This window comes from Homo sapiens, chromosome 3 (genome assembly GCF_000001405.40).
Source record: "Homo sapiens chromosome 3, GRCh38.p14 Primary Assembly".
Classification (NCBI taxonomy): domain Eukaryota; kingdom Metazoa; phylum Chordata; class Mammalia; order Primates; family Hominidae; genus Homo; species Homo sapiens.
This window is the reverse complement of record NC_000003.12, coordinates 119,243,089-119,258,284: the sequence shown is the minus strand read 5'-3', so window position 1 is coordinate 119,258,284 and position 15,196 is coordinate 119,243,089. Positions and strand designations below refer to the sequence as shown.

Sequence of the window (15,196 nt, the reverse complement as noted above, 5' to 3'; positions counted from 1 at the left end):
AGCTGTTTCTCAGCCAATCAGAAGCAGCTGAGCTTCAGACAATCACAGGCTGCCAACTGTGCAGACCATGTCCAAATAAGGCAAGTGTCTAGCTATAACCAATCAAGCTATTTCTGAACTTTACTTCCCTGTTCTGTCTATAAATACTCACTGCCCCCCTTCAGAGTGGAGCTCTCTGAACCTTTTCTGGTCCTGAGAGCTGCCTGATGCATAAATTGTTCTTTTCTGAAACAAACTGTTAAATTTACTTTGTTGAAAGTTTTTATTTGAACAGATCTGGTGTTGTTAAGGGAGGAGACCACCCCTCATATTGTCTTATGCCCAATTTCTGCCTCTAAAGGAAGAAGAAATGAAAACTAAAAGGCAGAAATGAAATCCACAGGCAGACAGCCCAATGCCGCGCCCTGGGCCTGGTAGGTAAAGATCAACCTCGACCTAACCGGTTATGCTATATATAGATTCCAGACATTGTTTGGAAAAGCACTGTGAAAATCCCTGCCCTGTTCTGTTCCATGCTGATTACCGGTACATGCAGCCCCCAGTCATGTACTGCCTGCTTGCTCAATCGATCATGACCCTCTCACGCAGACCCCCTTAGAGTTGTGAGCCCTTAAAAGGGACAGGAATTGCTCACTTGGAGAGCTCGGTTTTTGAGACCTGAGTCTTGCTGACACTCCTGGCCAAATAAAGCCCCTCCTTCTTTAACTCAGTGTCTGAGAGGTTTTGTCTGCGGCTTGTCCTGCTACATTGTAAGTGAGATCCAAAGGTGCCCTCCTGATGACGACCTTTAGGAGCAATGAGCAAACAGCTGTAGGTATCTTCCTAAACCCCTTATGCTCACTGTTTCTCACTGCACATTTGGAGGTTGTCATCAGCAAGTCCCAATTGAATATGAGCTCCATAACTTGTGTTGTGATCCCTGAGTTTATCTGAGCATCTTAAATCCAGACTGGGTTCACAAGTTGGACTGGGTTTTGTGTCAGATTGGATTCAACAGAAACTGGGCTGGGTTCCATAAAAGGCCTCTGGTACATAAGGTTACAAGAAGACCGGCAATAATGGGTTCATCTGAATCCAAGGTTCCTGGGGCTTCTCCATTTTGAAACCTGTGCTTTTCTAGAGAAATGAGTCAACCTTGTCTAAAATAATTTAGAATTGTACATTGACTGACTTAACTCTGATTGCACTTCTCTCTTTCTCTTTATTTTCCTCAGCATACTCTGAACCTTCGAAACTTTTCACTCTGTTAACTTCTCATCCCAAAGGGAAAAATAAAACCAGAAAAATGCCTTATAAATTTAGGCCCTCAGATCAACCATGTCTACTGCTTTAACCACCTTTATCCCTTGTTCAAAATCTGGAGTTCTGAGCAATATTGAAATATTTCTGTGTTCCAAAGGAAAACTCCTAGAAATTTGCTAAGAAATTTAGAATTCTAATTGGAGCATCTCATCCAGAACTCCTTGATCTTTACTAATTTATACACATGACGTGGGGACCTGAAGAAGCCCATAAATGGAGGGCTGAGGCCAAATGAGAGGTACCCAAGGAAGATATCAAAGACTCAACTCCTGTTTCTTTTAGGGATGGACCAAAGAGACTAGGAAAATAGCAGATGATCTCTTAGAATTCATCCCTAAAGTATTTTCTGAAAAACAAAAAAATAAAAACAAAAAGACACAAAATCAGACTGATCTGTTTTTGAATCTTATAAAGAGAAAAAAAGAATGAACCAATCTGACTCAATAATCTAGTTAAAAAACAGAAACTGGGTTGGGAAGCTGCCTATCTAGCTGGATTGGTCTCCAAAATACTCATTTCTGGCATTCAGCTGGTTATTTTGAGACTCTTTTGTAAGATAAATTTACATCTATAAAGGAAATTTCAGTTTTTAAGTTTGTCTCTCTTTCCGCACCAGGAGAGAAAGAGGACTGAATCATAGGAAACTCTTTTAATGGGGAAGGAATCTGGTTTAAATGTACATAACAAACGTTACCTTTGTTTAAGGTACTTTTCACCTTTTTTTGTTTTGGAAAATGATGGTTTTCAGCCTGAAGCATGTGCCTTTGAGATGCCAATTTTCTTTTCTTTTTCTTCTTCTTCTTCTTCTTTTTTTTTTGAGACCAAGTCTTGCTCTTATTGCCTAGGCTGGAGCGCAATGGCACGATCTCGGCTCACTGTAACTTCTGCCTCCCAGGTTCAAGTAATTCTCCTGCCTCAGCCTCCTGAGGAGCTGGGATTACAGGTGCCCGGCACCACGCCTGGCTAATTTTTGTATTTTTAATAGAGACCGGGTTTTGCCATGTTGGCCAGGCCGGTCTCAAACTCCTGACCTCGTGATCCACCTGCCTCGGCCTCCCAAAGTGCTGGGATTACAGGCGTGAGCCACCGCGCCCGGCGGAGATGTCAATTTTCTACCTCATCTTACCTGAGAGCCCTCCCTTTGAAAATGCAAATTTAGGGGAGATGACTCTGGGGAAGAAGAAAAAGCAAAATGAGAAAAAAGGGAAATCTGAAAATCGCTGAATAAAAAAATGTTAAAAGTCTTTTTTCCTCTCACAAATATTAGTAAAAAGTTTTGGCCATCGATGTGGATAATCTTGCTCCACTGGCTGGAAACCTAATTTTTTGTGATCTAAGTATTCTTTTATAAACTAGTGAGTTTTGTATTGCTGTGCCTGTCACATGGCTAAAATTTCAGACAAAAACCTGTCAGATCTGCTTCTGCCTGTATGTTTATGTAAGTCTTTATATGTATGTATGTGTAATATTTTTCTCCCTCCAGATGGTATTGCTACAAATCATTTATTATTAAAGTAATTAAATTTTATAAATTTATCAAATTTATTAATTAAAGAAACAATATTATTAAATTAATTATAATTTAATTTGCCTAAATAATAAGCAGTAATATAAATTAAGTATTCCTAAAACTCTTAGAAGTATAGGAACTAACCCAGATGTTTACAAATACAGAACTGTGAGTTCAACCTACGAACAAATGTCCAAATGGAAATACAGTGTCCATTACTCCGTATATATCAAGCACAGCAGTAAAACAAACAAAATCACATATTTAACTTTTAGGTTCTTGCCTTTGTGATGACTGCCTAACATATGTGTACTAACAGGGAAATAACTCAATGATGGCTAGATTTGTTTTAATAGACATATTATAAAGTCTTTTCGGTAACTTACACTTAATGGAGTTTTGCTAGGCTAAGAAATGGATATTATTGAATATTTAGATCATTTCCAAATAAGATAAAATGCTGAAATTCTAATTGTCGAATATAGGCTTAACGTTATATGCTTTTGGCATCTTGTTTTAATATGGTTATAGAGAAGTTAAATATATTTGAATTTGTTAGTAGACATGAACTATTATACTATGAAGAAGCACATTTCTAAAAGTTATAGTGTTACAGAATGCTTGCTCACAATTACTAAGGATTAAAATTCTAATTAATATGTGTAGTGAAAACTAGAAATCACAAGGGAAACAATTCCGTATGCAAATATAGAAAAAACAAAAGGTATTTTTGATAAGGAAAGTTCTAAGGCATGACAGTGTGTTTTCTGTTAAGGGAAAAAGGAGTAATTAATTCTGTACTGAAGTAGAATGACTGCTTGTTCCAGCATGAGAGAAAAAAATGGAAGGGAAAAAAGCTAATTAAAAAAAAGGTCATGGAAAGAAATCTTATCTTTCTTTCAAAGCTGGCTGAGATTGGATGAATTCATTTAAAAGTCTGTACTAAAATTAGCTTTAGCATTTATAGTACACTGATGCAAAACTATAATTTACTATTCTTGGTTAAAATAACATTTTCTTGGAGTATTAGTCTGATAATGTAAAGATATCTTTACCTGTTAATTGGTTTAGGAAACAAAGACTTGGGTTTTATCAAGATAATTTCTTGTGCCTCATGTTATCTTTTATTAGGTCTTTGATTACTTAAGAAAAGTGAGACTTCTCAGTATTAGAGCTAAGGTTTTTGTTTGTTTCATTTTGTTTTACAACTTAACTTTCTGCATTTTGCTTTTAAAATATTTTGTCACTATGATATTGCTTTACAGTAACTTGTGATCTTTTAAAATTATTTTAAACCTTCTGACATTTTTGACAACTTTCCAATATCATATTCTAAATTAAGTTTTTTAACCCTTGAACTAACTTTAGAATGTTCTAGAGGGCATCTTGAATGTCTTAAAGGATTGTTTCCCTCCTTATAAAACAAAATATTAAACTAATTAGGATTATGTATTAAATTATATAGGAAGCATTTTCTTTTACTTTACTTATGTTTTAGATTTTTAGAGATGGGGTCTTGCTTTGTTGCCCCGGCTGGTCTCAAACTCCTGGCTTCAAGTGACCCTCCCACTTTGGCCTCCCAAAGTGCTGAGATTACTGACATGAACCACTGTGCCCAGCTGTGAAGCATTTTCAAATAAGAAATGATGCTAAGCCTTCACTGAATTATATTTGTATGGATGTGTTATTAATATGTATTCCAGAAGTTGTATGAAATTCCTAGAAATCTGATAGTCTTAATATTCTAGTTACAGTCCAGTCATGATTCTAGTTATTATCTTAAAATATTGTATGCCACTGAAATAGCCAAAGTTCCTTGTCAATTGTGTCGTTGTTACGATGAACTCTCAGCAAATCTTTAACATGGTAACATGGCCATTTTAAGTGTTGTGATTCACAGACAGTTAATTGTTTTACTCTCATACTTCCCTAAAAGCTGTTACAGGCAACTAGGTATATACCTAAAGCATTTTGTCTTTTAGAAGATTCATGGAAGAGATTCTGACAAATACAGCTTTCTGATAACTTTAATATCATACCACTGGACTAAGAATTTCCATAAGTCTAATGAGGAAACTGATTGGTTCATAAAACTACTAACCCAACATCAAGCAGGACAAGAATTAACTGAAACCAAAGAAATGCTTTGCCAGATTTTCACACTAAGTGAGCCAGTATTGAAATTGTTAAGGTATGTGATATTGTTTGGCTGTGTCCCCACCCAAATCTCATTTTGAATTGTAGTTCCCGTAATCCCCATGTGTCGTGGGAGGGACCCAGTAGGAAGTAATTTAATCATGGGGACAGTTACCCTCATGCTGTCCTGGTGATAGTGAGTGAGTTCTCATGAGATCTGATGGTTTTATAAGGGGCTTTCCCCTTTTCTGCTTGGCACTTTTCCTTGCTGCTGCCATGTAAAGAAGGATGTGTGTGCTTCCCCTTCTGCCATGATTGTAAGTTTCCTGAGGCCTTCCCAGCCATGCTGAACTGTGAGCCAATTAAACTTCTTTCCTTTATAAGTTACTGAGTCTCGAGTATGTCTTTATTAACAGCGTGAGAATGGACTAATACAATATGCAATTTGAATAAATTTGAGTAAAGATTGATCAGACTCAAATTACATTCATTAACCTATTTAACAAACAATGCTATGCACTAAATTAGAGAAACAACACTGTTATTAATTTTAATTTTATTTCAATAGTTTTTGGGGAACAGGTGGTTTTTTGGTTACATGGATAAGTTATTTAGTGGTGATTTCTGAGATTTTGATGCACCCAACACCCAAGCAGTGTATCTATACCCAATATGTAGTCTTTTGTCCCTCACCCGCCTTTCAACGTTCCACTGAAGTCCCCAAAGTCCATTATATCACTCTTATGCCTTTGCATCCTCATAGCTTAGCTCCCACTTATAAGCAAGAACATATGATAATAGGTTTTCCATTCCTGCGTTACTTCACTTAAAATAATGTCCTCCCACTCCATCCAAGTTGCTGTAAAGCCCATGATGTTCCATTTTATGTCTGAGTAGTATTCTGTGGTGTCTATATACTACATGTTCTTTATCCACTTATTGGTTGATGGGCATTTAGGGTGGTTCCATATTTTTGCAATCGTGAATTGTGCTGCTATAAACATGCATGTACATATGTCTTTTCCATACAATGACGTCTTTTCCTTTGGGTAAATACCCAGTGGTGGGATTGCTGGATCGAATGGTAGTTCTACTTTTAGTTCTTTAAGGAATCTCCATACTGTTTTCCATAGCAATTGTACTAGTTTACACTCCAACCGGCAGTGTAAAAGTGTTCCATTTTTACCACATCCATGCCAGCATCTATTATTTTTTGATTATGGCCATTCTTGCAGTAGTAAGGTGGTATCTCATTGTGGTTTTTATTTGCATTTCCTTGATAATTAGTGATGCTGAGCATTTTTTCATATGTTTATTGGCTGTTTGTATATCTTCTTTTGATAATTGTCTATTCATGTCCTTAGCTCCTTTTTGATGGAATTATTTTTTCCTTGCTGATTTGTTTGAGTTCCTTATAGATTCTGGATATTAGTGCTTTGCCAGATCCATAGTTTGCAAATATTTTCTCCCACTCTGTAGGTTATCTGTTTACTCTGCCAACTATTTCTTTTGCTGTGCAGAAGCTTTTTAGTTTAATTAGGTCTCATTTATTTATTTTTGTTTTTGTTGCATTTGCTTTTGGGATCTTAGTCATGAATTTTTTGCTGAAACCAATATCTAGAAGAGTTTCTCTAATGTTATCTTCTAGAATTCTTAAGATTTCTGGTCTTAGATTTAAGTCTTTTACTGATCTTTAGTTGATTTTTATATAAGGTGAGAGATGAAGATCCAGTTTCATTTTTCTAATGTGGCTTGCCAGTTATCCCAGCACAATTTATTGAATATGGTGTCCTTTCCCCGCCTTATGTTTTTGTGTGCTTTGTAAAAGATTAGTTGGCTGTATTTGGCTTTATTTCTGGGTTCCCTATACTGTTCCATTGGTCTATGTGTCTATTTTTATACCAGTACCATGCTGTTTTGGTAACCATAGCCTTATAGTATACTTTGAAGTTGGGTAATGTGATGCTTCCAGATTTGTTCTCTTTGCTTAGTATGGCTTTGGCTATGAGGGCTCTTTTTCGGTCCCATGTGAATTTTAGTATTGTTTTTTCTAGTTCTGTGAAGAATGATAATGGTGTTTTGATGGGAATTGCAGGGAATCTGTAGATTTCTTTAGGCCATATGATCATTTTCACCATATTGATTCTACTCATCCATGATCATGAGATGTGTTTCCATTTGTTTGTGTTGTTGATGATTTCTTTCAGCAGTGTTTTGTATTTTTCCTTGTAGAGATCTTTCACCTCCTTGGTTATGTATATTCCTAAGTATTTTATTTTATTTTTTGCTGCTGTTGTAAAAGGGATTGAGTTCTTAATTTGATTCTCAGCTTGGTCATTGTTGGTGTATAGCAGTGCTACTGACTTTTGTACATTGATTTTGTATCCTGAAACTTCGCTGAATTCATTAATCAGATCTAGGAGCTTTTTGGATGAGTCTTTAGGGTTTTCTAGGTATACAATCATATCACTTGCAGCGACAGCCTGACTTCCTCTTTACTGATTTAGAGGCCCTTTATTTCTTTCTTTTGTTGGATGGTTCTGGCTAGGACTTCCAGTACTATGTTGCATAGAAGTGGTGAAAGTGGGCATCCTTGTTTTGTTCCAGTTCTCGGTGGAATGCTTTCAATTTTTTCCCGTTCAGCATAATGTTGGCTGTGAGTTTGTCATACACGGCTTTTATTACATTGAGGTATGTCCTTTGTATGCCCATTTTGCTGAGGGTTTTAATCATAAAGGGATGCCAGATTTTGTCAAATACTTTTTCAGAGTCTATTGAGATGGTCATATGATTTTTGTTTTTAATTCTGTTCATGTGGTATACCACATTTATTGACTTGCACATGTTAAACCAACCCTGTATCCCTGGTATAAAATCCTCTTGATCATGGTGGATTATCTTTTTGATGTGCTGTTGGATTTGATGAGTTAGTATTTTGTTGAGGATTTTTGCATCTATGTTCATTAGTGATATTGGTATGTAGTTTTCTTTTTTTTGCTATGCCCTTTCCTGATTTTGATATTAGGGTAATACTGGATTCATAGAATGATTAGGGAGGATTCCCTCTTTCTCTATCTTTTGGAATAGTTTCGGTAGTGGTGCCAATTCTTCTCTGAGTGTGTGATAGAATTCAGCTGTGAATCCATCTGGTCCTGGACTTTTTTTTGTTGGCAATTTTAAAATTACTGTTTCAATCATTTCAATCTCGCTACTTGTTATTGGTCTGCTCGGAGTTTTTATTTCTTTCTGTTTTAATCTAGGACGGTTGTATATTTTCAGGAATTTATCCATCTCCTCTAGGTTTTCTAGTTTGTGCACATAAAGGTGTTCATGATGTTTACAGTAGCCTTCAATGATCTTTGGATTTCTGTGGTATGAGCTGTAATATCTCTCATTTCATTTCTAATTGAGCTTATTTGAACTTTCTTCTTTTCTTGGTTAATCTCACTAATGGTCTATCAATTTTGTTTATTATTTCAAAGAACTAGGTTTTTGTTTTATTTACCTTTTGTATTTTTGTTTTTGTTGTTTCAGTTTCATTTGTTCTGCTCTGATCATTGTTATTTATTTTCTTCTGCTGGGTTTGGGTTAGTTTGTTCTTGTTTCTTTAGTTCCTTGAGGTATGACATTAGGTTGTCTATTTGTGCTCTTTCAGACTTTTCAATGTAGGTATTTAATGCTATGAACTTTCCTCTTAACACCACTTTTGCTGTATCCCAGAGGTTTGGATAAATTGTGTCACTATTATCATTCAGTTCAAATAATTTTTAAATTCCTATCTTGATTTCATTGTTACCCAAAGATCATTCAAGAACAGATTATTTAATTTCCAGGTAGTTGTCTAGTTTTGAGAGTTCCTTTTGGAGTTAATTTCCAGTTTTATTCCATTATGGTCTGTGGAGCTACTTGATATGATTTCAGTTTTCTTAAATTTATTGAGACTTGTTTCATGGCCTATCATATGGACTGTCTTGGAGAATATTCTATGTGCTGATGAGAAGAATGTATTGTATATTCTGGAGTTGTTGGGCAGAATGTTCTGTAAATATCTGTTAAGTTCATTTGTTCTACAGTATAGTTTAAGTACATTGTTTCTTTGTTGAATTTCTGTCTTGATGACCTGGCTAGTGCTGTCAGCGGAGTATTGAAGTCCTCCATTATTATTGTGTTACTGTCTATCCCATTTCTTAGGTCTAGTAGTAATTGTTTTATAAATTTGGGAGCTCCAGTGTCAGGTGCATATATATGTAGAATTGTAATATCTTCCGGTTGGACTAATTGTTTTATTGTTATATAACGTCTTTCTTTGCCTATTTTTACAGCTGTTACTTTAAAATCTGTTTTGTCTGATATAAGAATAGCTACTCCTGCTTGCTTTTGATTTCCATTTGGTGAAATATCTTTTTCTACCCCTTTACCTTAAGTTTATGTGAGTCCCTATGTGTTCAGTGAGTCTCCTGAAAACAGTAGATACTTGGTTGGTGGATTTTTATCCATTTCACCATGCTGTATCTTTTAAGTGGAGCATTTAGGCCATTACATTCAACATTAGTATTGAGATGTGAGGTACTGCTCTATTCATCATTTTAGCTGTTGCCTAAATACTTTTTTTTAATTGTGTTATTGCGTTATAGGCCTTGTGAGATCTATGCTTTAAGGAGGTTCTATATTGGTGTATTTAAACATTGTATTTTAAGATTTAGAACTCCTTTTAGCATTTCTTGTAGTGCTGGTTTGGTAATGGCAAATTCTCTCAGCATTTGTCTGAAAAAACCTTTATCTCTGTTTCATTGATTAAGCTTAGTTTTGTTGGATACAAAATTCTTGGTAGACAATTATTTTCTTTAAGGAGGCTAAAGATAGGACCCCAGTCCTCTCTGGCTTCTAAGGTTTCTTTTGAGAAATATGCTGTTAATCTGATAGGTTTTCCTTTATAGGTTACCTGATGCTTTTGTCTCACAGATTTTTTTTTTTTTTTCTGAGATGATGTTTTACCCTTGTTGCCCAGGCTCAAGTGCAATGGCATGATTTCAGCTCACTGCAACCTCTCCCTCCCAGGTTCAAGCAATTCTCCTGCCTCAGCCTCCCAAGTAGCTGGGATTACAGGCATGTGCCACCATGCCTGGTTAATTTTTGTATTTTTAGTAGAGATGAGGTTTCACCATGTTGGCCAGTCTGGTCTCAAACTTCTGACCTCAGTTGATCCTCCCACCTTGGCCTCCCTAAGTCCTGGGATTACAGATGTGAGCCATCACACCCAGCCAGTCTCACAGCTTTTAAGATTCTTTTCTTTGTCTTGACTTTAGATAACCTGATGACTATGTGCCTTGGTGGTGGTCTATTTGCAATGAATTTCCCAGGAGTTCTTTGAGCTTTTTGTATTTGGATGTCTAGATATCTAGCAAGGCCATTGACGTTTTCCTCAATTATCCCCTCAAATAAGTTTTCCAAACTTTTAGATTTCTCTTCCTCAGGAATGCCAATTATTCTTAACTTCGGCCATTTAATATAATCCCATATTTCTTGCAGGCTTTGTTCATTTTTTAAAATTCTTTTTCTTTCTTTCTTTTTTTTTTTTGTCTGATTGGGTTGATATGAAAGCTTTGTCTTTGAGCTCTAAAGTTCTTTCTTCTACTTGTTCTAGTCTATTGTTGAAACTTTCCCCTGTATTTGGTATTTCTGTAAGTATGTCTTTCATTTCCAGGAGTTGTGATTGCTTTTTCATTATGATATCTATTTCTCTGAAAAATTTTCCATTCATATCCTGTATTGTTTTTTAAATTTCTTTTAAAAAAATGAAAATTTGGTTTTCATCTTTCTCTGGCTTCTCATTGAGTGGCTTAATTATCAACCCTCAGAATTCTTTATCAGCAATTCAGAGATTTTTTGTTTGTTTGTTTGGATCCATTGTTGGGGAGCTACTATATTTTGGGGGTATCATAGAACCCTGTTTTGTCATATTATCAGAATTACTTTTCTGGTTCCTTTTGGTAGACTATTTCTTCAAATTGTTCTTGAATTTATTTTTGATGGGATTGTGCTTTTTTAATTTATTTTTTCCCTCTTAAGGATTAGACCTTAATATTTATTCCAGTCTAATTTGATTCTTGGTGCTTGCAGGGGTGAAGACTCTGTATGAGTTCCTTAGTTATAGAGAGTCTTTGTGTGCTGGCTCTCCTGATGCTGATTGTAGTAGTTATGTACTTGGTATGTGGGCAAGTTCACTGTCTCCTATGAACTTGGAATGGCAGGGATCTCTTGAAGCTTATCTCATTCTCTTGTGGTCTATATTTATTTGTTTAATTTTTCCCCAGTATTTTATTTACTGAGTTGACGATTCAGGCTTCAGGCCAATAGGGGAGGTATTCTTGGGTAGGTACTAGTTGTAGCTAAAGCAGGTGAATAGATATAATCCCAATGGTGGGCTCAGGCCCCAGCCTTGATGAGGATGGCTGCGGGAGCTCACAATTTGATGTCCTGAGGTTTTATCAGGGTGAGGAGTAGGAGCTACCTCAGCTCCCTTCTCAGGTCATCAAGCTATTCACCTCACAGTCTCATTCCTGTCCCAGTGTTTCAGCTATTCAGATCAGTCAGGACCTCTTTTCATCTACAGGAATGTTGATGTTTCTTGCCTCTTGTGCAGGCTTGAATCTGGGGGGGTGCTTCTCCTGTGGGGCTTGTGCTTACCCTGGATTGTTCCAGCAAGGCTGTCTATAGCTGCCTCTATGCTGCATTCCTGTGGAAGAAGCTTCAGCTGTGTCTGCAGTGTAGTGCCAGGGGGAACAAGGATGCCTTCTCTAGTGCCCTTCATAATCACACAGGCCACCTGCCTGTTGGGGTAGAGGTGCAGACTTTCTCTACTGTACCCAGCACTGCAATTGTGTCTCTGCTGTGAGAAACTTCCCACCAGTAGAAAGATCTGGAACTCACGGCCTGGTGTTTGGATTCTTTTGTCCCATGGGGTGACCCCTTGATGTGGTGCTCTCCCTCTTCCCCTAGGAATGGGGCTTCCTGAGAGCCAGACTGAAGTGATTGTTATTCCTCTTCTGGGTCTAGCCACCCAGCTAGGCTCTGAGCTGGTGCTGGGGAATGTCTGCAAAGAGTCCTGTGATGTGATCTGTCTTCAGGTTTCCCAGCATGGATACCAACACTTGTTCTGATGGAGGTGGCAGGGGAGTGATGTAGTCTGTGAGATTTCTTGGTTGTAGATAGACTCAGTGTGCTGGCTTTCTTGAATGCTGGTTATGCTAGCGGTGAAGTTGTCATGTGGACAGACTCAGGACCTTTAGTTAGCCAGGGTGTTGCAGTGAGTGGTATTAGCTGTTGTTTTCTCCTTCCTGGAAGAAGCGTTATTCTGCCAAGAGTTGCTGTAATGGCCTGAGTTGGCTGGCTTCCAGCCAGGAGGGGACACTTGCAAGAGAGCACCAGCTGTGGTAGTAGCAGTGACATTTGAGCTTGGCCTAAGTTGTCTAGGGGAAGTATTCTGGTTTCCCAGGCAATGGGCAGGGCCATAAGGCTCTCAAGAGTTTATGTCTTTTGTGTTAAGCTACAAGGCAGGTAGATAAATACCATCAGGTCGGGGCAGGGTTGGGCGGGCCTGAGTTCAGATTCTCCCTGGGCAAGGCCTGCCATGGCCTGCTGGGGGATAGGAGGGGTGGATCTCAGGCCAATGGGGTTATGTTCTAGAGGAGAGTATGGCTGCTTCTGCTGTGCAGTAGAGTTTGCAAGGGGAGTGGGGATTAGCTCATAGTGAAAGTCCTCATCCAGCTCCCACAGAGTTGGTGAGGCCAGTCTTGCTCCCATGGTGCCCCACTAACAGCACTGAGTTTAGATCCAGGCAGCTGGTGTGTAGAACTCAGACCTGCCCTGGGCCATGAGCTTCCCTGCTGAGGAAGAAAGCATGGCTTTCAGGTCACACCCCTCCCCATCTGCCTGCAATGCTGGGTGCCCAGCTTCTGCCCTTGTATCTGCATTAGTTTCCATTTGTCCGCCCACCCCTGGATTCTGTTCAAGGGTGCTCATGCCCACTTGAAATTACCACAAAACTCAGTTGGTAGCTTATTTCACTCTGTGACTCCTTCCTAAGTTTGGTGGCTGCCTTCCCTGAGGGCCCCTGTTAGATATGGTCAGGGATGGCTTCCCTGGGCTCAAGCTGGAGACTGAGAATGCCTCCAAGGCTCTTCTTGCTGCTGCTTCTACTTTTGTATTTTGTGCTGCTCCCTAAGTCCATTCCAGCTCTAGGTAAGGCTAAAGCCTTCTCCCATCATCTGGATTTTCAGATTCCACAGTAGGAATGTGTGTTCAGAGGCAGGCTCTCCCCTTTTCCTACACTGAGAATTCAGTTTTTTGCCTGTCTCACAGACTTTGCTGTGGTGTGCTCCTTTCATAGGATCTGCGAATTCTTTTGATTTCCTGGTAACTTCCTGCAGTGGTTCTTGGAATAAAAGTTCACAGTGTTAATTGCTACACACTGTTCTGTCCTTCCAAGTGGGAGAGGCACACTAGCACTGCCTACTACCTGCCATCTTAGAACAGATAGACAAACCAAAACATATTTTTTTTATTTTTAATTTTTTACTATACTTTGTTTTAGGGTACATGTGCACAACGTGCAGGTTAGTTACATATGCATACATGTGCCATGTTGGTGTGCTGCACCCATTAACTTGTTATTTAACATTAGGTAACCAAAACATATTTAAAAGGATGTAAATTTATTGCTAAGTGTGGACTCATGGAGGCCCCATATGGCCACCTGGTTCTTCCTGAGTCCTTAAATCTTCCATTATTAAAAACTCTGTACTCCATTACTCATCATGGGGTAGACAAAAAACTAGTTCTGGGAAGACCTATATCCTTAATAATAGACTCTCATGTATCTCCTGCTCTTATAAGCTTTGCTGTAACTAAATACTGCAAAGCTTTAATCCATTATATGAAAGTGTGTTTTCCCCAGGTAAAAGCCTTTTGTGATACACTGAGTACAACCAACCTTTCACAATCTAGAACTCAGAGATTGAGTCTTCTGGAAATAACATCCCATCTGAGAAAAACTGCTCTTGTATCCCATTAGAAGAGATTATATCATGTACTTCTCTCACCACCCACAGTAAAACTTCAGGGCCTCGAGTTTTGGTCCATACCTTGTAACTCAAAAGAGCCCCTTCAAACTCTTGGAATTATACACCTGTTGGAGATCTTAAGGTAGGGAAGTTTCTCCCCAGAAGCAGATGGCATCCTAGACATGGACAGCTTTCTCAAGATCATGGATCAAGACTTCTCTGCTATCATGACTATCTTATCTTTTTTTCTATTTTTTCCATATTTCCTGCTGGGAAATCCATGGGACCATAATTTATAGATGGCTTTAGCTAAGGCTCATGCTCTAACAAGAAAAACTAGAGCAACTGTTGGGTTTCTGGACTGATGCCAAAAAAAAAACCCCTAGGAAACAATTTTATTAATGCCAATGCCTCTCTGTGAAATGAAAGCCACCCTAAAACCTCAAAAGCAGATTGGAAAGCTATCTTTAATTTTGTAGATATCACTGCTACTTGCTTTCCTACACTTACTGAAAGCAATAACCCAACTTCTCCAATTAATAACCTACCAGCTACCAAATATAGAAAAGCTGAGTGATTCTTTTTTTTTTTTTTTTTTAGATTAACTTGCTTGGCTCCTTTATTATTCTCCTTTATTATTAAACTTCCTCAGCATAATGTGATTTGGGCAGACAGAGATGTTATCCTGTGGCTTATTGTTGGCCTACATTCTCTTTTTTTTTTTTAAATTTATTTTTTTTTTAGTATTTATTGATCATTCTTGGGTGTTTCTCGGAGAGGGGGATTTGGCAGGGTCATAGGACAATAGTGGAGGGAAGGTCAGCAGATAAACATGTGAACAAAGGTCTCTGGTTTTCCTAGGCAGAGGGCCCTGCCGCCTTCCGCAGTGTTTGTGTCCCTGGGTAGTTGAGATTAGGGAGTGGTGATGACTCTTAGCGAGCACGCTGCCTTCAAGCATCTGTTTAACAAAGCACATCTTGCACTGCCCTTAATCCATTTAACCCTTAGTGGACACAGCACATGTTTCAGAGAGCAGGGGGTTGGGGGTAAGGTTATAGATTAACAGCATCCCAAGGCAGAAGAATTTTTCCTAGTACAGAACAAAATGGAGTCTCCTATGTCAACTTCTTTCTACACAGACACAATAACAATCTGATCTCTCTTTCTTTTCCCCACATTTCCCCCT

General features: G+C 38.3%; 1 long non-coding RNA gene across 1 annotated transcript in view, besides 1 other annotated feature; it reads right to left on the bottom strand.

Moving 5' to 3' along the window:
* Positions 1-15,196, bottom strand: part of B4GALT4-AS1 (B4GALT4 antisense RNA 1) — a 64,181-nt gene that overhangs the window by 32,382 nt on the left and 16,603 nt on the right. The window lies entirely within an intron of this gene.
* Positions 853-1,591: an enhancer, noted in NCBI's record as "H3K27ac hESC enhancer chr3:118975541-118976279 (GRCh37/hg19 assembly coordinates)". NCBI's record gives its function as "activates a minimal SCP1, AML or CMV promoter by ChIP-STARR-seq in primed H9 embryonic stem cells {active_cell/tissue: H9 hESC(primed)}" and the evidence as "EXISTENCE:reporter gene assay evidence [ECO:0000049][PMID:30033119]".